This window comes from Homo sapiens, chromosome 18, assembly GCF_000001405.40.
Source record: "Homo sapiens chromosome 18, GRCh38.p14 Primary Assembly".
In the NCBI taxonomy this organism is placed as follows: domain Eukaryota; kingdom Metazoa; phylum Chordata; class Mammalia; order Primates; family Hominidae; genus Homo; species Homo sapiens.
The window spans coordinates 28143328-28168549 of record NC_000018.10 but is presented as its reverse complement, the minus strand read 5'-3'; the positions used below and the strand labels follow the sequence as shown (position 1 = coordinate 28168549).

General features: G+C 39.0%; 1 protein-coding gene across 3 annotated transcripts in view, besides 1 other annotated feature; it reads left to right on the top strand.

Annotated features, from left to right (window-relative positions):
- Positions 1-25222, top strand: part of CDH2 (cadherin 2) — a 244252-nt gene that overhangs the window by 8581 nt on the left and 210449 nt on the right. For 2 of the 3 annotated variants that reach the window (XM_017025514.3, NM_001792.5), the window contains exon 2: positions 20766-20877. In XM_017025514.3, coding sequence (XP_016881003.1) covers positions 20766-20877 — 112 coding nt within the window. Of the gene's footprint in view, positions 1-9252; positions 9402-20765; positions 20878-25222 lie in introns of those variants that run through there. The other variant, XM_011525788.1, reaches the window with a different exon arrangement.
- Positions 12886-13584: an enhancer, noted in NCBI's record as "OCT4-NANOG hESC enhancer chr18:25734930-25735628 (GRCh37/hg19 assembly coordinates)". NCBI's record gives its function as "activates a minimal SCP1, AML or CMV promoter by ChIP-STARR-seq in naive H9 embryonic stem cells {active_cell/tissue: H9 hESC(naive)}" and the evidence as "EXISTENCE:reporter gene assay evidence [ECO:0000049][PMID:30033119]".

Genomic DNA, 25222 nt, shown 5'->3' with positions numbered 1-25222 from the left:
TGAAAGCCTATAAACTCTCAGGCCACAAGACCACACATTTTTTTTGAAACTCTTTTTTCCATATTCTTCAGGGTGAAAGTAAATGCAAGATATTCCACCACCAATTTTTGAAAAGTTTTAATGTTTAATGTTCAAACATTTTCCATATTTGAACACTTTGCATTACTTTTTCGCACACTAATAATGTTATTTGGCATATTTTAATATACATGTCCACATCTTGAAATGACCCACTGCAGACAAGTTCCGGTGAATATTCTGTAGTGTAACTGAGTACAGATACTGATTTGTTTGCTGCTGGGAAAAACCTAGAACTATTTTACTTGTAACTTGACCTGTTGTTGGTGGGTGGATACACTTGGCTTGACTGTAATCTTGCACGAAATGTCTTGTTTGTTGGTTGGGAAACTATTAAGTGGAATCTGAAATAAAGGACTAAAAAAAATTACATTTACTAAATTGAAAGGGGATGTAATCCCCCCGCTCCCGCTTAACATAAATCTTTAATAAACTCGAAACTGTGACCACTTTGTTATTATTTTTCCTTTTGTTGTCTTAATTGGTTAACACAGACATTCAAAGTCTGAAGTTCATTCTTTATGGCTCTCGGGTTGAGTAAATAAAGAAAAGTCTGTTTTTGCAGCGAAAATATTGGCCTTTGGCACCCACTCTCTTGCTAAAGTCTATTTGGTGTCAACACCTTTACGATTGAGTTCTAATATCCTGCTACCTGATATGATATTTTAGGGAACTCAAAATTCAGATTATGTACATATAATACACACATATACATTTACTTTATGGAAGTGTCAAATGCATACAGGAAAATATACATAGAAGTGGACAGCCTGCTAAATGTTCCTAAATGGAACATACTAGTTAATCAGCACTGAATCAAGACAGAGTTTTACCAGTACCTCCTTCCAATTTTAACCGTCCCTCAGTGGTAACTATTTATTTGACTTCCAACAGCATGATTTTTTTGCTCATTTATACTTTGTGAAACCATATTCTCTTTTGTGTCTGGCATCTTCCACTCAGTACGCAGAATCTTTCTTATATTTATATCATATGTATTTGTAATTGTCACAAAATTAGGAAAGACGGACACTATAGAAATATATTGGAGGTAAGGAGGGTGAAGTTGGTTTAAAATGGAAAGATTAATCATTTTTTGCAGCTAAAGGCCACTCGCACATTTATGGTGTCAAGCCACTAAATACCTTTTGTGGGTTTTCTTACAATATCTTTTGCCATAGTTCTGGTAGTTTGGCAATATCACTTCAGCCAAATGCCAAATACATTTGGAATTCTGTTAAGTTATAGTCTCTCTTGTCCTTCCTTTTATTAGAACGAGAGTGGAGACAAAGAACTAAATATCTTTCTGACCTGAAGTTTTTAATCAGAAGATTTAGGTGTTAACAGACTCTAATCTTTTCAGCGATGCTTCTTAATACCTTCTCTGAGCTTACTAGTGACCCAGTTTTCAACAAGGCTTTACCCAGTTTTTTGTTTTTAATTTTGGAAAGGGTACATTGAGGGGTTTCTACTTCCACACACTGTGTGTATCCGGGTACCATTTACCTTTTTTTATATTTGTATATCTTTTTTAAAGATCTGAGAGTCTGCCAGGAGGGATGCAGATTGTCCACATTTGTCCCAGCATCTTTCTTTCTGGAGGCCTTTTCTGTTTATAATGGTTTAGTAGCTCTAGATTGTTGGTAGAGGCTTCCATGCATAATGATGAAGACTTAAGGAATCAAATTCCATAGGTAATTGCCCACCAAGGATTTGTTGGCTTCAAAGCTTCTCTAATTTATTTATCTTCTTACACTTGTGGATTTAATTTTACCATATTTTAAAGATTGTGCTTTTGGTGTGGCCTTAGCTTATTGATAGATAATTTGTATTTCACTTGCTTTTGCCTCTACACATTGTTTTGCTGCCATAAAAGTAATTGTGTACATACCATGTTTGTGTTTGAGGACTTCACTTCTTATTCACAGTTCTATCTTTTTTTGTTTGACAGATAAGAACATTTGGGGAGAATATCATAACCATTGATTTAATTTACAAATTGATTTAGAATTAAGTACCTTGTAAATGAAACTGAGTTAAATTCATGATTTGGTTTATGATCCTTCTCTTTATTTGAGGCCTTCTTGATGAAGCTGTGTTTTAAAGGGAGATAGTGGTGTACTCAAACGTCGATAACAGTGGATTATTTTGCAGATTGCGTATAACATTTTAGGGTGCAAAATAAAGCATTTGGAAAGACAGGTTACTTTTTTTAGTATTTGCATATATAATAGATACTGTCAAGATTGTGATTCCTTATTTTCATAAGTCTTGATTCTTCATAATTAAAATACAGACATATATATATATATATATATATATGAGTGTGTCTGAATTACTCCTCTTTGGTAGGTAAGCAGTCATATAAATTGAGACCTGTCCACCTCCAAAGACAGCTTCCTCAAACGTCACACTATGTCAGATATTACTTATCTGTTTGTGTTTTCACATATACATATTTTACTTACCTGAAATTTACTTTTCTATGTGTTTTGTGGAAAGAGGTCTTGCTTTATTTTGTCCCCTGGATTTTGTATATGTGGTGACATATATACACACAATAATACATTTGGCATTTGTTAAAGTTTCTGTTTTTCTGAACTGAAATGCTTCTTTTATCAAGTACATCATTTCTGTAGATTTCTAAATCTTTTTCTTTCTTTTCTCTTAAGGTTACACTGACTTAGTAGCCTGAAGAAGCAGTGTGACACAGTGGTTAAGATTGGGGACTCTGAAAAAAAGAAAAAAGAAAAAAAAAAAAAGATTGGGGACTCTGAAGCCAGATTTGCATTGGTTCCCTGGCTCTGACACTTGTTTTTTGTGTGGACTTGGACAACACATTTGATGTTTCTCTTTCAGTATGCCCATCTGTAAAATAGGGATAATAAATAGTATCTATCATAAGGTTGTTATGAAGAATAAATGGGTTAGTGTGTGTTTGTGCGTGTGCATATATAAATCACTTAGAAAAGTGCTTTCAGGCTGAGTGTGATGGCTCACAGTTGTAATTCCAATACTTTGGGAGGCTGAGGCCAGAGGATAGCTTGACCCCAGGACTTTGAGAACAACCTGGGCAACACAGTGAGACCTCCCTCTCTACAAAAAATAACTAGCTGGGTTTGGTAGCTGGGTGTGGGAGCACACACCTATAGTCCCAGCTATTCCAGAGGCTGAGGCAGGAGGATCACTTGAGTTCAGTAGTTCAAGGTTACAGTGAGCTGTGATCACACCACTGCACTCCAGCCTGGGCAACAGAGCAAGACTGTGTCTCTAATAATAGTAATAATAATAGAAAGAGAAGTGCTTTCATATAGTGAGCAAGATGTTGGATATTTATTTGAAGATTTTGGGACCTGGTCATTACCATTGTTTTACACAGACACAATCAATGGATAATTTAATTGTTTGAATAAGTTTGAGCACTTAATGCATGCAAGACTTTGTTCTATATTCAGTGTGACAACCAGATAAATTATAGCTCAGCAGGGACTACCTACCACCAGTGTTCCATCGACCACACTTGGAAACCACAATTGAAGGGCAAATATTTTAACAATCCTCCTTAAATTTTAACAGATGTTATCTAGGCTGATATAATTCCACTGTCTTTATAATTAGGGGAAGGAATTAGTGTATGTAGAGTGTTAATTCTGCCAGTGATTTGATTTGGAAACAACAGGTATATCAGATAGGAGCTTTTCTGTTGTCTCCTCCTAGATCTGTCTCTTGCTTCTGTAATTTAATTGTTTCATATGCTAGTAAGGACCCATGTGTGTGCACATGTGGGAGTATGTGTGTGTGTGTGTCTGTGTGTGTGTGTTTTGAGACTAGGCTAGAATCAAAGTTACTCAGCCTCTGAATGCTTTTAACATGATGATGACAACCCTGTAGAGGAGAGGGTTGAGTGTAATGGTACCATATTGGTTGATGCCAGTACAGCATCTGGGAAAACAGGGAAGGTGGATTCATTGTTCTCATAGGTGCTGATGGTTTATTGACGATTAGATGCAGGAAGTATTGCCTTTAACTTAGCATCTTTCTATTCTAATAGTAGCTTTTCATTTTTTTAGTAATTACTATGTACCACACGTGGTTCAAAGCACTTTACATGTATTAACTCATTAAATTCCTCCCCAAATATACCCAATTTACATATTAGGACACCAAAGCATGGTGAGGTTATCTGAGCTGCACAAGGTTATTTTGTTAAATGTTGGAGCTGGGGTTTAAATGCAAGTAGCCTGATGTCAGGGCCTGTGTATCTAGGTTTGATATGTATTTGAATCTAGGCAGAAAAACACCGAAAGCAGATTGACATCCATTTGTATTTTATATATATATGAAGGTCACTTTTGAAAAATAATTTTTATTGTGAAGTGTGATATGAGGATACGATATAGAGGAGTCTATAAAGTGTATGTGTACTATTTAAAGGACAATTAAAGCATATAAAGTACATCCATGTAACCACCAGCCTGGTTAGGAAAACAGAATATTCCTACTTCCTTGGACATCCCCAGAGTACTGCATCCATTCCCCTCTCTCCACCCAGAGTTAACTACTATCTGGCAGAGATAACTACTATCTGGGTTTTTCTAACATTTATTCATTGCTTTCCTTTGTAGTTTTATCATCTATATAGACATTTTTATATATGCATATACATCATGCATAGATGTATACATGTATCATGCATGTGTATATATAATGTATTTTTCTGTGATTTGCTTTTTCTACTCAGCGTTATGTTTATAAGATTCAGCTGAGTTGTATAGCTGTAATTTATTCATTTTCACTGCTGTAGAGCATTGCATGCTATGAATATGGTACAATTTACTTATTTGGTTTATTGTTGATGGACTTGCGTGTGTGGTTTCAGTTTTTTGCTGCTGTCAGCATTCTTATGCATGCCACCTGGGTATAAATGCCAGGGATACTCTAGGGCTGTGTTCCCCAAACTTTATATGAGAATCACCAGAAAGCTTGTTTAAATGTGGATCCCTGGCCCTAGCCCTGATAGTCTGATTCAGTAAGCCTACAGTAGAGCCTGAGAATTTGCCTGTCTGGCAGACTCCCAGGTGATGGAACACTGTTCTGCTCTTGGATGTGTACCAAGGAGTAGAATTGCTAGATTGCAAGGTATGCATGTTTTCATCATTACCAGCTAATGCAAGATTGTGTTTTCCATACTGGTCTGCCAGCAGTATGTGCATAGTTTCCCCCTAATTTTAGGATACTTGTTGTAGTCAAACCTCAACATTTAAAAAAATCTGGTGGACTGCATAATAATGTCTCATTTTGGCTTAAATTTGAAATCTGGTTTCTGATGAGAGTTTTTCTATGTATTTTGACCTTTTGGTTTGCCTTGAAGTGTCTTTATGAACACTAGCCTGTTGGATGAAGTTTGTAACTTGTCTGTAGCTTGGCCTTGCTGTGTGTTTCTCATTCTCTTCACCTAACATTTTCAGTCATGGCTTGTGTAGGTGTGTTTTGAAGCACTGAGAACCTTCTAGATAGCCGACACAGGGGATTAATATTTACTGAGTGCTTACTATGAGCCAGGCCAAGCACTTGACCTGCATTTTCATATAATCCTCACATCAATCCTCTGCAATAGGTAGACGTTATTATCATTATCCATCTTACAGATGTCTGAACAGAGATTGGCTGAAACCACTCACCTGAAGGCACACTGTTGTGAGGTGGCTGGCCAGGGCTTTAACAGTGCTTTACTTTCCTGATAACAACTCGGCCAGTTCCTTGAAAGTCTGCAAAAGAATGGACCCAGTGGGAGCAAGATTAGTCTATTCTGGACTTTGAAGGATTGTTGCCTAAAGGAGGATTTGGACTTTAGAATGAGGATTTAAAAGATCTCAGTTTCATGGAGCAAACTCGGCTTAAGAATGGGAAAATCTAACAGATTGAGCCAGATGCAGGATAGGCTACCAAAGAAGCAGGCAGTTTCTGCCGCTGGCCATGCAGCTTCTTGGTGGTGACTCGGAGATGCAAGTGTCTCATGAGCTGTTGATAGTTCCTTCTGTGAATCACTCTCTTTCTCCTGACCTCACCCCACCTTGGCCCAGTTCTGTACTCACCCAGCAATCTAAGGGCACATGTGGCTTTCTGTTCCAAGCATTTGTGCTCCCCTAAGTACATGAGGGGTCTTGGTTGAGTGCCTCAGACTCAGCACAGAGACATCCTAGTGGGCCTGAGGCCCTGCTGGCACTTCAACAATGTTATTTGGACCAACTTCTTTTTGATCATTTAGCCTTGGCCTTTGAGTATTCAGTAAGATTGAGACTTTGTAGATAATTTTGTTGTCTTTGAAGGGGCCTAAGCAATAATGCTCCTTATCTATTTCAGTTCTGGACAAATAAGACAAAAGAATCAGTACATAGAGAACCAAAATTACAACATTTATTACTGATAAAGACAAGGTTAGAGAATGTGGCTTTAATCTTTCACATCTCAGATTTAGTTACCCTTGGCATCCCATCTTTGACAGTGCTCCCATCTGTCGAAGCTTACGGACCTATAGCTTAACAATATTTGCATGACATAGGTGGCGTGGCTCTGACAGGAAGAAAAGGTGATGAAGAGCCTGGGTTCTGTATGCCCACTCGTTTTATCTAAGTTGGCCAAAGGTCAAGAATGTTATTACTAGTGCAGCTCCCACTACATGGAAGTAGAGGATGAGGTTTACACTCTGACGGTCCCCAAATTTTGGATTGACTGTTGAGCTCATGTTCTTAGTCATCAAGTGTGTGCTTATTCCAAAATGTGGCAACTCCCCTCAGAGGGCGAGATGGGCATCTGTCAGGACAGACTTATTCCCAACTTCTTGAAGTCTTGGAAGATCTATAGCTTTGCTTTTTTTTTTTTTTTTTTTTTCGAGACAGGGTTTCACTCTGTCACCCAGGCTGGAGTGCAGTGATGCAGTCTCGGCTCACTGCATTCTCCTCCTCCTGGGTTCAAGCTATTTTCCTGCCTCAGCCTCCCAAGTAGCTGGGACTACAGGTGTGTGCCAACATGCCCAGCTAATTTTTGTATTTTTTGGTAGAGATGGGGTTTCACTGTGTTGGCCAGGCTGGTCTCGAACTCCTGACCTTAGGTGATATGCCCGCCTTGGCCTACCAAAGTGCTGGGATTACAGGCGTGACCACTGTGCCCGGCCAGCTTTACTTTTTAAAGAGTTCCCAAACCAAATGATGACCACAGCAACAGTCTTAACAGTTTTCAAAGTTAGAAAGCAAACCAGGCTCTGCTCTGGAAGAGTCATCCAGGTGAAATTGTTTCTCAGTGTTCCAAAGAACACAGTAGAGAGCTTGTGGTATGTGAGGGATGGACTGATAGTGGGCAGAGAAAACATTCTTCATTTTAACCTTTCCTGGATGCTGGTCAGTCTAAGCCTCTTGTCTATAATCTGCAAGCTTTGAACTAAACAAAGTTGAAAGGGGGAAGTGGAAACATAAAGATACTGAATATGCTAGATGAGAAAAAAGGCACCTCAAGAAGGACAAGGATCATTGGACATTTCTGAACCTTGTGCTAGGTGACAGTATCTCAGATGCCAGCTTTCTGAAAGAAAACCCGGTATGCATGAGGTACCCCAAATGGTAAATAGGAAGTGCTAAACAACCTCCCACTGGGAGCCTCTCCCCAGTTGGGTTTTGGTTTGCAGCCAGCCTGTTCAAACCTGCTTTCCCTTTGAGACTTTCCCTTCGTCTCCCTTGGATCTGACAGCCCAGTGTTATCACCATGTTGGGTTTGGTCTGGTGGTTGACTGGTGGAACAGGTGTTTTCAGTCTCGGGCCCCACTGGCTCTTTCTCTGCCATTTACTATGGAGTTGCTTTGGCCAAAGACGGCTGCCTCAAGGGAAGATTTCTTGTTCACTTGTAAAGGCCATCCAGACCACTTGGTGGAGGCTGACCCTTGAGCCAGTGGTCGAGCTGTCAGAATCCATGCTGTCCCCACCTTGCCCAAGTGAGACCCTTGCTAGTGTTCTTGAACTCAGTGTTATTAAAAAATAACAAACATTGCTCATTGACTAGTCTTTAGGCAGTAGATGTTGAAATAATCCTCTTTTTATGCCCCTCAGCACGTTCAAGCTGAGGCCCCTCAGCACTTCCAGAGTCCTGAGCTACCTTAGACCATTGCCAAGGCCAAATTGCGGCAGCTTTCACCCAGATTGTGGCATCCCTCACCCAAATTGTTCACCACTGGGCTAAGGTCGCTGTGCATCCTGCCTCTTTTCTATTCTAGGATCCTTGGCCTATAGTCTTTCCTGAGGTCCTGCTGTTTTTTTTTTTATTTTTTTCTCGAGGCGCTACCTCTTAAACAGCTATCATTTTCCTGGAGATAAGCTACCTAAGTGGTGGTCAAGCATCAAGGTCAAAATACTCTGTGGTTTAGAAATTTAAGCCTTTTGATGTTAAAAGCCACCTCTCCAACTATAAAAACCAGCCACCCTACACAATCAAGGCTATAAACCACCAAGTTAAAAGAAGTGCCGGGGGCCAGGCGTGGTGGCTCACGCCTGTAATCCCAGCACTTTGGGAGACTGAGGTGGGTGGATCACCAGAGGTCAGGAGTTCGAGACCAGCCTGGCCAACATGGCGAAACCCTGTCTCTACTAAAAATACAAAAATTAGCTGGGCGTGGTATAGGACACCTGTAGTCCCAGCTATTCAGGAGGCTGAGGCAGGAGAATTGCTTGAGCTGCGGAGGCAAAGGTTGCAGTGAGCTGAGATTACGCCACTGCACTCCAGCCTGGGTGACAGAGTGAGACTCCCTTTCAAAAAAAAAAAAAAAACAAAAAAATTGCAGGTCCTGAGTAAAGCACCCTTTTCCCACTGCCAGAAGCCCAAGTTCCTCCATGAGTACTTTCTTCCCCTACATTGGACTCCTTTTTTATTTCTCAAGATCCCCAGATAGTTCACCAAGTGCTGAAGTCTTTGAAAGGGCCCAGTAAATAGGACCTGTCCTCCCTGTCTTGAATTCTGAACCGAGGGAAATGTAAGCCAGCAGAATCAGAAAATATGAAAGGAAAATATCACCGTAGTCCTGATAAGCACTAGGGTGGCAGGCATGGCCTTCATCTATTGGCAAGTCCCCCTTACAATGAATCCCAGAATCCCAGCATTTCAAAGACATGCCCACTTCCTTCCACTGCCAGATTGCTGCAGGGAATCTGTGAGCTCCCAGCATGGAAAATGAGATCACCAAGCTTCTTTTCTGTGGACCTGTGACTCCCAGATGGGCGGAGTAGGGGACAGGGTTGGGCACCAGCTGCTCAGATTATTCTTTCAAATGCAGGCTTCAGGTAAGTTTGGTCCATCCCTCTTTGTTTAACATAACACTTTACAAACTTTTTAGTCTCAGGACTCTTTTACATGCTTAAAAAATTATTGAGTTCTTCAGTGAGCTTTTCTATTGTAGATAATATCTATTGCTGTTTACCATAGAGAATTTAAACTGAAAAAATTATATATTTAATTCACTTAAAATATTAAACCAGTTGTATGCGTAACATAAATAACAATTTGTATGAAAAATTACTGTATTTTCCAAAAGAGAAAAACAAGATTAGTGGGAAGAGTAGCATTGTGCCTTTACATTTTGCAGTGTCTTTAATGTCTGGCTTAATAAGAAGATAGCTGGCTTTTCATATCTGCTTCTGAATTTTCTCTGTTAAGGTATCACACATAACATAGCCTCTGGAAAACTTTACTTTACACTTGTGAGATAATGAGAGTGAAAAGGGCAAATATGTTGTAATATTATGGAAGTGGCTTTGATTTTGTAGATTCCCTGAGAGGGTCGTGGGAACTCCTAGGAGTCCACTCCTCGGACCATACTTTAAGAATTGCCATTCAGGGTAACACTGACTGGGCAGTGGAAAGCACTGGGACAGTGAGAGTTAGCAGAGTGCCTTCCCATGGAATGAAGCATCAGGAAGGGAAGAAGCATTTCCTCTATGGGTTACACTGTGAAACTATCCAGATGCCAAACATCAGTCACCCAAGATATCCATGGGTGGACAATGCTTGTCCTTCACCCTTGAGTTGAAACTGGAACTGACGATATTAGCTCTGCAACCTCTCAGCCTGCAGGGCTTGGAGATTTATTTCTTTATTGCTTGATCTATTAGAACACCACTGGATGGGGTGCTGCTTCCAGAATAAGTTCAGGAAAGGCTTTGAACTCTGGCGTTATGCCTCCTTTCGCTGCAATGCATTTCTGGAAGCTGTGCCTTGAATGTTGTTTTCTCACAAGAATAATGCTATAATTGGGTTGTGTTTATCTTATCAGGGACTCAGAATTACATAAATCATCACTATGGCCAGCTACTCAAATTAAATCAGAGTTCCGGGGACTGTAAACATCTGTAACCATTTTTAAAAAGTGAAACCATGCTCCAGGTTTTATGAAATGGGCCTAATTGTACATGAATACAGGGGACTCCAGAGCAAATAAAGTGTATAAAGAGTTCATTATAGACTATAATTATTCCTTCATCAATATCACCTCTGAAAATTAACATACTAGCCATGATAGCTATTGACTGATAACTTTCCATGTATACTTTTAGAAGAGTTTGGGCTGGGGGGTGTGAGGCTTTGATTTGGAGGACTTAAAACAAAATGTTTAAAAAAGTTTTACCTGAAGTCTTTTTTTTTCCTAATTTTTTCCATAGTGAACAGAAACATTGAAATTGTTTTATTAGCATATATCACATATCGTATGCGAGAATCATATTTTAGGAGAAAGTTTATTATGGCAGCAGGCAGATTTTTCACTTAGTCTCAATTCATATAGGACAGTTTCCAGCCCTTAGCCAGTTAGGTACTATGTGTCAATGTATGTGAATGCTTCCTAATGGAAGTTGTAGTGGTTGGGTTAAGGGTAATCCCCAAGGCCTTTTGATGCCGGTTTGAATAGTGTCCCTAAATTGACTAACTAGATGACTTAGGGCAGTTTTCTTTAAGTTAGTTTCCTTGCCTGCAAAATGGCGGTACTAACAGCATCTACCTCATAGGGTTATTGTGAGGACTATTTAAGATATATTGCATGGAAAGCATTGTAGCATGCTTTTTGGCACATATTAAGCACTCAGTAAATATTTGCAGTCACTGATATTGAGTGTCTTTAGTTGAATGAATTTCCAAGTTCATTATAAACAGTCTAATGCCAAGTGCTATACTATTTGATAACATTTTGAGTATAAGCGTGTTGCAGTCTCTGCTGAGTGTCATGAGTTGATGGGACAGAATCAATCTGAGCCATGATTGGCCATCTCTCCTGGAATGCCACGGGCACTTCTGGAACTTTTTCTGACTGTTTAATTGCACAGCTGCCTGGGCCATTATCTAATGATAGTATTAGCCTTTTACCTGCCAATTAAATCTGTAGGTACATTGTTACTACCTGTTACATTAAGCATCCACTTCATGGTAAGCTCCTGTCTATCTTTTGAGACTCTACTCAAGGAAGCCTGGAAGCCTAGGAAGCCTCTTCTCACTTTGGCAGAGGAGATGTGGGATTGCACAGAGGTCTATATGGATGTCACTCGATGTATGTTTTCATATTGTCCTAAGCCCTGATAGGCTCTACTCCTGGGAAGGTGACATGCTATACCTGGGAAGGTGACATGCTATACCTGGGAAGGTGACATGCTATACCTGGGAAGGTGACATTCTGTACCTGGGAAGGTGACATGCTATACCTGGGAAGGTGACATGCTATACCTGGGAAGGTGACATGCTGTACCTGGGAAGGTGACATGCTGTACCTGGGAAGGTGACATTCTGCACCTGGGAAGGTGACATGCTGCACCTGGGAAGGTGACATGCTGTACCTGGGAAGGTGACATGCTGTACCTGGGAAGGTGACATTCTGTACCTGGGAAGGTGACATGCTGTACCTGGGAAGGTGACATGCTGTACCTGGGAAGGTGACATTCTATACCTGGGAAGGTGACATTCTGTACCTGGGAAGGTGACATGCTGTACCTGGGAAGGTGACATGCTATACCTGGGAAGGTGACATTCTGTACCTGGGAAGGTGACATTCTGTACCACATTTTGTATGCAGACCCAGATTTTGACCCAGATTTTTGTCCATCAAACTCTTGTATTGTGGGGCTGCCTTTTAGCTAAGAGTTCAGTTTCAACAGTTTGCAGGTTCCTGTGCCAGCATCAATGCTGTTTTTGCCTATTCTCTTTGTCCTTACTTGATTAAAAGAAATGACAATGAGAAAACTAAAAGTACTGATACTAGAGATACTCAAGGACACATCCTAATAAGATAATTAAAATAAAGATGAAAATTACTAGGCTGTCAGATGGGGCAAATGTGTGGCCTCAGTGTGGTATTCATTGAACCTAAGCTGGTCTAGAGCACATCATGAAGGCAAGAAAGAGTTAAAAAACCCATGCAAGACAAGATAATCTCCTTCCAGAATGGTACTTGACAAAACAAAAATATTGCAGCTGTTCAGGGTTAAACTTCTGCACGTTTTAAGCATTTTTGCAGGGATGTGAAATTCAAAAGTGCCATCAGTGGCATTACTGACACAGAGAAAATCTTGAAGAGTGGCAGTAGCTCTTGAATAGTCTTCTTAACATAGCCTCCAACATCATGGATGGAATCCTGTGAGATGTCGAGAATCTGGCAACTGTAATTGTATGGTGAGAAATTGGATTAAAAAATAAAAAAATTAGTCGTGCTGAATGTTCTCGAACAGTGTCATTACTCTATCACCATGTACTCAACTAACGACGTTAACAGTGTCTTCATTAACTGTTTATGTTCGCTTATGTCGTTTGGAAGACATAACCGCATAATAAAAGTATTACCATAGTTGTCACCCTCCCTGTACTGCGGCTCCATCCCCCAACCCACAAATCACGTATCATGAAGGGAATTCCACTTGTGCATCTTTTGTCCTTGTTTGTGAGTGAATTTCCGTTTTTTTGCAGGCTTGATTTCTTTACGGTATTCCTTCTTCACAAAATAATTTTAAAATATTTCTCAGTTACTTACAGAACAAAGAGATAAAAGTCTCCACAATCAAAACAATACCAGCATCATAATAGCTAACCCTTGTCCTGTGGTGAATCACGTATTGTTTTTTAAGCCCTTTGTATTCTTCACAACAATCCTAAAGACCTGTACTTTAGCTATTATTATTATTATTACAGAGGAGGAAGCTGAAGCACAGATGAGGTTACATGGCTTGCCAAGGTCACACAGGTAGTAGATGGTGGAGGCTGGATTTAAACCTGAGCAGGTTTGCTGCAGAGTTCTCAGTCTTAACCCAGTCCTACCCATTATTGCCCTTATTTCCACAAGGAATCAGGGGAGCAAACATAATGCAAAAGAAGGCCTCAGCTTTGTTGACTGCATTTGGTAATCTCCCAAACAATAATGTAATTGTTACAAGATTGTGACCATGGAATCTCTGATAGGGAAAAAGTAAGAGATCAGTGTTTTAACCTGACATCCAATGGATTACATTTAAGAGTTTATGATAACTAACTTAGTCTAGGTTTTGGTTAGGCAGTCTTCAGAGCCAGAAAGAAAAGTTATGATTTCCTTAGGTTTAGGCTGCTTTCAGAGGTGAAATTTTTAGCCAATAATCATAAATGATCTTAATGAGGAAGAGAGTGAGGAGACAAGGCAACTGAAGTCTGTCCATGGTGATTCCACATGGAATATTTAAGAGCTTGGATTTAGGAGTGACTTGGAGGAAATTGGAAAGCAGATTGAGTGACCAAGGATGACTATGAAAAAGAATAATGAGAACGGGAACCGAAAAGAGTAGTGGACTCGGCTTTAAAGCTCACAGCATTGAGACCGTGGAAAAATTTGAACAAGAACAAAAACAATGTCCCTGCGAGTGCAGAACCAGAACAGAGAGACTGATACTCACAGGCAAGCAGAACTCCTCAACTCCTATTACACTTCTGTCCTCTCTAGACAAGGAGGTCGATCTTCAGCCTGGGAAGAGTAGAGTAAATACTTGTAAGAGGAAATTGAAACTCAAGATAGGTGAGCTGATTGTGCGAGAGCACAGAGCGGCACTAAATGAGTTCAGATCCTCTGACCAGCGTGAATTTCACGCTGGTGGGCCGAGAGGGCTTGTTGACTGCTTGTCATCCTTGAGGAATTGTGCAGAAGAGGAGAATTGCTAAAGGACTGGAGATGGGGTAATGCTCTGTTCAAAGCAAAAGAAATTCAAAATCAAGAAGGTGTAGTTTTCAGAATAAAGAGAGCATGGGATTAAGAACAGAAAAATCATGGTTTCTGTATTCCTTTTTGTTGTTGCTAAGCTATTGGGTTTGAAGACTAGGGTCAAAAGGTAGCTGTGCCGTTTTGAGAACGTTCAGAAAGGTTTCCAGAGGTAAAGATAAGGGCTGGATGTGTGGCCACCACTTGCAGCACAGGCACTTGTTAAATACACAGATTTATCCATCATGCCTCTTGAGAGTCTGTTTTAATGAGTCTTGGGCTAGGACCCAAGAATCTGTATTTTAAACAAATGTCCCAGATTGCTTGCTGTGTTGAGTAAGTTTGAGACCTACCGGCCTGTATGGCAGATGTACCATGAGTTGGATTCGTGTTGCCCCAATAGTATTAGTACTGTGATGACAAATAGCTAAGACATTGAATAACCATGTGCCAGACACTATCCTAAGTGCTTTACACATATTAACTCATTTAATCCTCTCATCTGCCCTATGAGTTGGTGCTGTCTTTAGTACTCTTGTTGTACAGATGGGGAACTGTTTCTTCTCAGAGGTCTGGCAGATAGTATCCATGGGACTGGGATTTAAAGCCAGGCAGTCTGACCTGTTGGAAGTTCATGCTGCAGTCACTCTGCTCTTCTTAAGAGCCCAGGGCTTAGGGCCCCGGGGGGTTGGGGGGTGTTGCCCCTGGGCAGATTTCCCCAAACCATGTCTGGGCATGTGACATACCCTGTTTTTAGCATCTAAGTAGCATCTACATGAAGACTTTGGGGTATCTCATTAGACTTTCTTGATACATAAAGCTGGAAGGAATGACTAAAGCCAGCTGGAATTATTAATTTATTGAGACCAAATTTTGGAGGGTTAAATATAAATTGCTCCCCCTAAGGACCCAAAATCAGCAGCAAAGATAATAGAGGAGGAAGCCATAACTTAACAGTTGCCTAGAAAAAAAAAGATCAGGATGGTTTTGGTGGACTACAAGCTCAACATAAATCACCAGGGGCTTTGTTCTGCTGTACCTTTTGCCTGGAATGCCCTTTTCCACTTCCCCCTCTTTCTCCTGGCAAATTTTTAATCATCTTTAAAGTCAGAGCCTAAATGTCACTTCAGCTATGGAGTCTTCCTTGACTTCCACGGACAGATTTATCATCCCATTCTTTCTGCTTCTTTAGCACTTTGTTCCTGACATTATAGTTTTGCAATTATTTTTCCTACTTGTGGCACCCGTGTTCACAGCCACTCAGCTGGAAACATGAGGGAAGGCATCATTTCCTCCCTCCCTCCCCCAGTGAGTCCCTGCCTCAGAAGGCCCTATCGATCTTAACTATCTTGGTATTGACAAAATCTGCCCCTTTTTCATTCCTTGCAGCCCCTGCCCTGACTCAGGTCTGTGTCCTAGCTTGTCTCCCAGTTGTCACTTGTCATCCCCTATCACACACACACTTTCCCACAAAACTATCAGAGAATTCTCTGTCAGATGCATTCGGTCTGTGCTTAAAATCTGTCCCTGGCTCCCCCAGCCAACAGGATAACCCCAGGCCCCCAACCATTTGTGATCTAACCCTGTCTAACTCTCCAGCCTCAACTTTTGACATCCTGCCTTGCTTCTTGGACTCCGGCGACACTGAACTCATTGTTATTCCCCAGGCACTATGCTGTTTCTTGCTGCCTTGTTTTAGTTCAAGCAGTGACTGCCTAGGATGGCTTTCCTGCCACTCTCTAGCGCCTTGCTACTCCAGCTCTCTGCTTGGGAAGCCCCCAGATTCCCTGCCCTGGGCTTTGCTCATATCCTCTGCATATCTTAACCTCCCACATTAAATCTTGAGCTCCTTAAGGGCAGGGGCTGTATCTTGTTTTCTGTTTCTAGTGGCAAATGAACACTCAGTACATGTTTCTTGAAAGATTGTATTGTAATTATTTGTTGTACTTAGAAAGACTACAGAGTTTGAATCCTGCCCTTTCTCTCTTGGATGTGAGGTCTTGGGTATTTCACTGTACCTCTGTGTGAGAATCGATTTGCTCATTAGCAAAATGCAGATAGTTTAACCCCCTCTTAAGGGGCCTATTGTGAGAATGAAGTGAGATAACAATGTGATACGGAACTTAACACACTATTCGAGGGATCTGCAAACTACACTCCTGCTGCCATTATTTTTGTCTGGCCAAGAATATTTTTTACATTTTCAAATGCTTTTAAGCAAGAAAAAGAAGAAGAATATCTTTCAAGACTTGAAAATGGAATGAAATTCAAATTTCAGGATACATGAAGTTTTATTAGAATGAACACAGCCATGTTCATTCATATACTGATTGTCTATGACTGCTTTTGCACAACAGCAGCAGATTGAGTAGTTTCAGCAGAGATCCTATGGACTACAAAGCCTGAAATACTTAGTTTACCCTTTACAGAAAAAGCTTGCCAACCCATGCACCATTCAAATATTAGGGAAATGTATGTTATTCACAACCTCCTCCTCATACCCACAGATAACTTGTTGAGGGTAGGATGCCTCTTTCTCCTCTTGGAAGTTCCAGAATTTCATCCTAGGCCTGGCAGAGTGATGACTTTATGTGGGAGTAAGCCTCAGGGGCTGGGTTTTGGCTTTCTGGGATGCAGGATGTTCCAAGAGTGATGAGGCTACTTGAGCAGACAGTGATCCTCATACCGATAGCAGTGTTAATGGGTAGGTAGATACCTCTTTTTCATGTGTTGCTGTAGAACAGGTTTTCTTAACCTTGGCTCTGTTGACATTTTGAGCTTGGCACTCCTTTGTTAGGGATGCTGTGCTGTGTGTTGTATAATGGTTAGCAAATTCCCTGCTCTACGTATTTTATAATGAAAAAGAGAAAATGCCAGAAACCAACTGAGAGCCAGTAGCCACTAGTAGCCAGTAGCACCCCCTCGCAGTTGTGACAGCTAAAAATGTGTCTGCACATTGATAGATGTCCCCTGGGGAGCAAAATTGTCCCTGATTGAGAGCTACTGTTGTAGAACATTCAGGCATTAGCTATGGGTTAGACCAGAGAACTTCCAATGCCCAACAAGGATTACCACCACAGTGCAGTCAGCCCCCCTAAGGGGATTCTGCTCATCAGCTCTTGGTCTCCTGCAGTCTCATACCTGGTATCAGTCACAGCCTTGTAGGGTTGCAGGGAGAATTGAATGAGATACTGATTTACCAACACAGTGCTTGGTGCAAAGTAAGCCTCCACTATGTCCAGCTGGGAGCTTGTATTCATTTGAGTGCTTCCTGTTTGTTTTTTGAACTTGGTAACTTTGCTATTTTTTGACTGAAAGTTAAGAGAGGAAATAAATAGGGAGAATATATATTTTAACAATTTTATGGAGATTGTTTTTAAGAAAATACATTATAGATTAGTATTTTGGATCCAGGATTATATTATTTTGTGGATCCGTTTTGTCTTAAGGAAGAAGAATTTAGGAAAGTTTCAGCTATTTAAGATGAATATGAAATTATTCAAAGTATGACATGACTTCCATGGATATTTAATATTAGTAGTCAGTATTCATTAGAGATGTGCTTTAAGAGCATTTTTTCAATAATTCTCATGGCCAACCTGGCTGGTTGGTACCCTTTTTTACATGAGGAAAATGAGCATGGAGAGGTTTAGTAAGGGGCAGCACATTGAGGACAGAAGGTCCCTTTTCTGAAATAAGGCAGAGAACAAAACACAGAGGTGAACATTCACTGTCTTCCTGACAGCTTCGACATGGCCCTGAAGTCCTATTTCTGTGGGTTTGGACCAGGAACTTGGTGCCGCTGATTCTCCTGCCTTAGGGCAGATCCACTGGGAAACAAGATTGAATAAAAGCTTACGGTTTTCCTCTAGTCTTGAGACTTTCTTGATCTCTGAGTTCTTACCCACAAACCCGCATACTCTACTACCCTGAACGCCCCCATTTGAAACGTGACCCCCGTCTGCTCCGTGCCTTCCATCGCTGGCTTCTGGCCACGGCGTTTCTGGGCTCCGGCCTGACCTGTCATGGGCTAGCACCTGCCATGCTTCACTGCTCTTAGAAGCCTGGACTAGAAGGGTGAAGAGGCAGACTCGTAACATGTTGGTGGGACACAGGTTTACAACACATTTGTCCATTTTATATGGCAAACTGGGGAGTTCCCTGTGTTCGTTTGGGTTAGCTAAAAGCAAAAGCTTTCCTTTACTCAGTGCCTGCACTGTGCCAGGCATGGACAGTACCTGGATGTTTACACGTGTCAAGTATCAGACTGTCTCCCAGTGTCCCAAATTTGATGGGTGTTGGAAGCCTCACTTCTTATTTCTCAATTGGTTTCTGATATTTTCTCTTTTTCATTATGAAATATGTAGAGCAGATAGTTTGTGAGGTGAATACTGTAATTTGTACCTGTGTGTCTATGCGGATCTTTACATTTTACCTGGTTTCCTTCAGTCTTTTTGAAAGAAAGTAATTATTACAGATAAAATTGAAGCCACTTGTACAATCTTTCCTGATGCCTTTCCTAGTTTTCCTTCCCCTGGGGTAACCACTATCCTAAATTTCATGTTTATCACTATGCTGTTTTCCTTTTCTTCTTACATAAGTATGTGTTCAAAACATTATGTTATCTTTTGTGTTTAAATTTTATATAAGCGGAATCATCAGTCATGATTTCTACTTTTTTTTGCAAGATTTCATACTGCAGTGTGCCTTGTCTTCAGTCTGAATTTGGGATGTCACACAAATGGGTTTCTGAACTTACTAAATAGTCATCTGTAGGTTGATTTATAATTAAATTTATATCTTAATCATACATGGAACTTAAAGAAACTGACTTTTTGTTTTGTTTTAGTTTGCCTCTGAGATGTAGCTGTTTGGATAAATGTAGTTCCAGTTCTTTCATTTTAATGTTGTTTTCTTCTTTTGGCTTTGTGATGATGTATTAGTCCATTCTCCTTTTGATGGACATGTACAGAATCTCTGCTATTACAGTCATGTTTCAGTGGACATTCCTGCACATGTCAACTGGAGCACTCATGTGGCGTAATATTTCCCTAGGAATATGGAGGATATATCCACATTCATCTTTACTAGAGTTTGCCAAAATATATGCCAAGGTGACTGTACCAGCTTCCACTCACACCTTTTTAGGGGACTGGTTCTTCTTTATTCTTCACTTGATACAGCCCTTTCTTGCACATAACAGACTTAAAACTGCTTACTCATTCGATGGGCCTGAACTAGTATCTCACTGTTGCTCCTAAAAATTTTTTGAGAATAAATACTGTGATATTTAATACTGTTTAAATTTAATTTATTTCTTATTTTCTTGGATTTGAAAAGAACAGTTTATTAGATTGGTCTAGATTTTTGCAACATTAGTATTTGCAAAATTTCACATGCATAATTCAGGTAGTCATTTAATTATGAAGCTGCCCTGCATTGCTTCATCCAGACAGTTGTTCTGAGATCTCTCTGTTTCTGGGACTTCCCTTCTTCTTCCTCTCAATTTCTGGTTCTCACTAGGGTGGACTGTCCCTAATGCTGTCCCTATGGCCACTGGAATCCCTTCATTGGGTAGCCTCATTCTACTCGTCCTTCCTCTGTATTTGAATCCCCATTAGTACATGGTAGAGTTTCCTACAATTAATGCAGATGCTACAGGAGCTCTGCTGAGGGCTGACTGTCCTCCAATTGTGTCAGTAGGGCTGAAAGAAGTAGGGCAACTAACTTGGAGGGTTAGCTAGACAGTAGTAGGTATGACTGAGTTTTAAGCACACTGAGTAAATTAACTGTGCATATGATGATATAGAAAATGACAGATACTTGGTTACTTTCTAATTTTAAGTGTAAAAACATAGTTGTATTAATCTTTACTTAAATTTTTAATGTATCACTGTCCTTCAAATTATAGAAATAAATATATAGTTTTGATTGGTTTTACTTGGTATAAAATATTATCTGTCCCACTGTTGTAAGTATATTATAATTTTATTTTTAAATGAACATGGCATCTTGAAACCAGTTTTATAGAAAATTAGCTAAAAATATAAAAATCTGTGTACTTGAATGTATACATTTTTCATGAAAACTTAAGTTAGTGATGGTGATTTGTGGAGCCCAAAGACTATTTGGCTGTCCCCCAAACCCCACGCCCACTTGGTAGTTCTTCAGTCACAATGAGCATTTTAATGGAAATGTTCAGTCCTTAGAAGAACCTAGAATGTGTATTATTTCGCTTTTACTGGACTAGACAAGTGGGATTTGTTTCTTCTACTCCAGTTATCAAAATGATTAACCCTTTGCCCTCTACATTCTAATTGTAAGCACTTGGAAACAAAGGGGTTGTTTGTACAAGATAGTTGAAAAAATGAGGCTTTATGCCAAGTGGAATGTTTCTCAGTTGAAGGAGGTAGCAATCATTGCACACATTTTTTTTTTTTTTCTTGTGTTGCAGGCGTCTGTAGAGGCTTCTGGTGAAATCGCATTATGCAAGACTGGATTTCCTGAAGATGTTTACAGTGCAGTCTTATCGAAGGATGTGCATGAAGGACAGCCTCTTCTCAATGGTACTATCTCAAAAGATATATTTGTACATGCAGTGTCCATGCTCATGAAACAAATTAGCCATTAAAAAAGCCTAAATCATTTCTACTGTATAACAAGTATGAATTTTTCACAATCACTATGATGAGACTGTAGGGACTTTATTTTAGGATTACAGAAGAGCTTATGAATCTCTTATATACATAATTTGAAGGCTCCTGATCTCTTGAAATCGTCAGATTTCTTCCATTTTTAATTTACAGAGAAACCGTTATGTAACTGATTATTACCATTTTTGTGTATACATTTTATTTAAAGAATAATATTTTGAAGAATATGAAACATCTAGTTCTAATGGCTTTAAAATTTACTTACAGCAAAAAATTACTTAGTATTTTGAATTAAAGAAAGGAAATTATTATAATATTTTATTAGATAAAACGTGAAGCTTTAATATATAGCTGAATTACATTGAATGAATTTAACATGTAAAGTCTCAGTGCAAGAGTATGAAATTCATATTTTTGTTATGACATTGTTTATAGCAATTACTAGAAAGCTAATTTAGTTGTAGCATATGTGAATTTTAAATATAGTCTCATTTCCCATTTAAATATGGATCAAGTTCATTATAGTTATCATATGGAAACTCTTGCCAATAAGTCTAGATAAAATCTGAAATAAAACCTAAGTATCAAAAGGAAAACTGAAAGCCCTTTCCTTTAGCTCTAATTGAAAGCAAATAAAATTTTGGTTAGTAGTATTTTCATGGACTTATTTATTATTACGCAAAATGTCATTGAAATGTGAAAGCAAGAAGAATTGATTAGTAAGTTGTGTTTAAATTTTAATTCCCCACAAATCTTGCATATCTCTGAGGCTGTTTTAGAGAGCTGCTTTTAGAAAATCTGCGTAACCTCAACTAATTAATTTACACAGAGCTCTACCACACAGCCTTAATTGAAGTGTCTCCACAGTACCGACAAACCTTAGTGGTATAGTACTTAAGAATACCATAGACAGAGGACTTTGAAATGTAAATGGCCTCTTAGCTACTATCGTTCTTGGGTGCAGGTTACATTTTATTTTAATTTCTATTTAAATTAGGATTTGCTCTCACCTGTGCTGTCTTTCTGAAGTTGATTTTTAATTTTTTTAAGGCATTCTCTTGTCCCTGCCTCATTACATGGTATTTTAATGGGTGAATGTTTGAGTTAGTCTGTCTCAACACTGAATTGCTATCTCATCTGGTGGGTAATGGAGGTTTAATTTAAATCCGTGTACAGCCTTTCTTTAACTTAATATGACTTTTGGAGTTCTTCTGTGTGTATCCCATTTTCTTTAAATCTTTAAATTATTACTTGGCACCCTAGAACTTGTATGACCTGTAAATGTGTATAAAATATATTGATATGATTCTGTAGAATAATTCAGACAGATAATAAAAAGTGGAATTTGTTGCATTGCTGCAGCATATTTTTGAGATTCATTTTTAAATGGGTAATTTCATTTTCTAAAAGCTTATAATTTGTTGTTTAAAGTAAACACATGGTGTGTCACTAGCAGCCATTGATTTAAGATTAATTACTTTGGCGCGTTGAATAGTTTTGAAAATGATAGCTTGTTTTCACATTATTAGATAATGCTGGTGACAGGAGAAATTGGACATAGCTTTTTGCCAGTGTCTTTTTAGGATAACTAGAAACAGGATTTTTGCTAAAGTTGTAAAGGTGAAAGATTGAAAATATTTTTTACTTTGTGCTCTAGCCATCAGTGAGAAAAGTATGTATAATGGTCTCTGGTAGATTTTTACAGTTTTGGTATATCCACTTGTTCCCAATTTTAGGTTTTAGCCTTTTTTTTTTAAACAGTTTTTCACATGACACCATTACTTTTTTCTTTATCATTCTCAGAATATGTTAAAGGATACCAGCATCGTAAAGCTTGAAACATACTGTTTAAAATATTGATTAGTAGAAAAAAACAACTTTTTGGAAGGAAGAAAATTTACACAGGCTTTTGTGGAACATCAGCATTTCTATTCAACACAAGCATGTTATCTCCAGTTAATGTTTCTTCTGGAGAATTGCTACTTAGGATAATTCTGGGTTTTTACCTTTTACATCTTTTTGGAGTTTTTATTAGAAGGATAATCCAATGCTATAGCTATACACTGAAGCCAAATACCACACCATAATTATATCTATGAATTCTGTGTACTGCAGTAAATTCATGTACTGTATATTTGCCACAGCTGAAAGGGATATATTACGAGGCCAACCAGAGTGATGACTTTTGCTATGATTTTGTCGCCTATAGTGTTTAAGGAAAGCAGTAATTGTACATAAGAGGTATGTGACAGTTTTCCAAGGCATTCACCTCATAGCATGTTCTACCATATATTGGCTGACTTTAGAGTCCAAGACCCTGTTGGAATCGTAACTCCTAACTCTGGATGCTTCCTTTAATTTCCCGTTGATGGCATCTGGGGACAGGATGACAATGGCTCACCAGTATGTACAATATACATTCTTAGGATACATCTGACACACTAGACTTTGTATAAAAGTTTAATATGTTGGTGTATTGGTACCATGAACGCTGATGATTTTTCCAACAATTAACATAATCTTTGCAAAAATGCTTGAGGAACATTGAATGTAAGGTAGAGACATAAGTTGGTATTTGTCACGTTAGAAAATTATATAGAAGAAGCATGAAATGTACAAACTGGACTGTGGTTTAAAGAGCATTCTTTCCTCCCCATTTCCCTTTATTTTTTGCTAGTGTAATGAATTTTATCAAAATAACAAACTCAAAGAACTAACTGTACAGCTTCCATTTATCTTCTAGTTTTTAACCGTGTGTTTTTTGTGAAATCATAAAAAGGGTGTTCTGTGATCAACCTTAACATTTAATGTAATATCACATGAATACATCCACTCTTTGAAGATAGTTCTGTATTTTAAAAAATGGCTATATAGGCCTTTGTCCCATTTTGTTAGCAAAACCAGATTCTGCTTAACTGTGCCTCTATTTTTGAACATACAGGTTGTTTCTAATTTTCCTCTCTTATATGTAGTGCTGCTATGGAGATTCTTTTTAGAGATCTTTGATTTTTCTTTAGGGATTTTTTTGGGGGAATTTGTGTTCAAAAATAGAATTACTAGGTCAAAGGGAATGTAGAGTTTGACAGTATCTTTTTTCTTTGCATTTTGTAGCATGCTTCATTACAAGGCTTGTGTGTTAGTTCTTTTCAATATCCTCATCACCATTTAATTTCATAATATATTGTCATTTTGCTCTTTCCCCTCTGGTGAAAAATCATTCCTTTTTTATCCCGTGGCATATATATGTTTGCCTTTATAAATTAGGATCAATTTTTGTATGTTTAGGCAGTCATTTTTACTTTGCGTTTTTCTATTCTGTTTTAAAAGCATTTATGGCCAAACTCTTCATTTTAAAAATAAGCAAATTAGAGCTCAGAGATCATAGGCTTTTCCCGTGATTATATAGCTCTTTTTTTTTTTAATTTTACTTTAAGTTCTGGGACACATGTGCAGAACGTGCAGGTTTGTTACATAAGTATACATGTGCCATGGTGGTTTGCTGCATCTATCAACCTGTCATCTATGTTTTAAGTCCTGTATGCATAAGGTATTTGTCCTAATACTCTCCCTCCCCTTGCCCTCCACCCACCGACAGTTCCTGGTGTGTGTTGTTCCCCTCCCTGTGTCCATGTGTTCTCATATTTCAACTCCCATTTATGAGTGACGACATTCAGTGTTTGGTTTTCTTTTCCTGTGTTAGTTTGCTGAGAATAATGGCTTCCAGCTTCACCCATGTCCCTGCAAAGGAAATGATCTCATTCTTTTTTTATGGCTGCATAGTATTTCATGGTGTATATGTGATTATATAGTTCTTTAGATTGTTAGCAGCAGATCTGGAATTAGAACCCAGGTTTCCTGATTTCTAATTTAGTTCTGATGATGGTGATGATAAAAAACTTATGGTATAACACAGAGAAAGGATCCAGCCTAAATATCCAGGTGTCTTGTGGCCACTTTATTTTAGAGCAGGTCTTTATTCCCCATTTACCACCATGACTTGTGTGTTAACTAGATATGTTTGCGAATTGGGGAATATGTTAAGCAACTCCTTATAATTAAAAAGCATCTTTCAATTATTGTCACTGTTAGTATTTTGTACACACCTGTTTACAAGCAGAAGAACCTGGGGCTTTTGAAGATAATATGTAGTCCTTAATATAACTTAACACTCCACTGACTAGGAAAAAAAAATCTCTTGTGGTAGCATATTTCTTGAAAATAAAATAACTGCAATCATACATTTTCATTTTGTCACTAG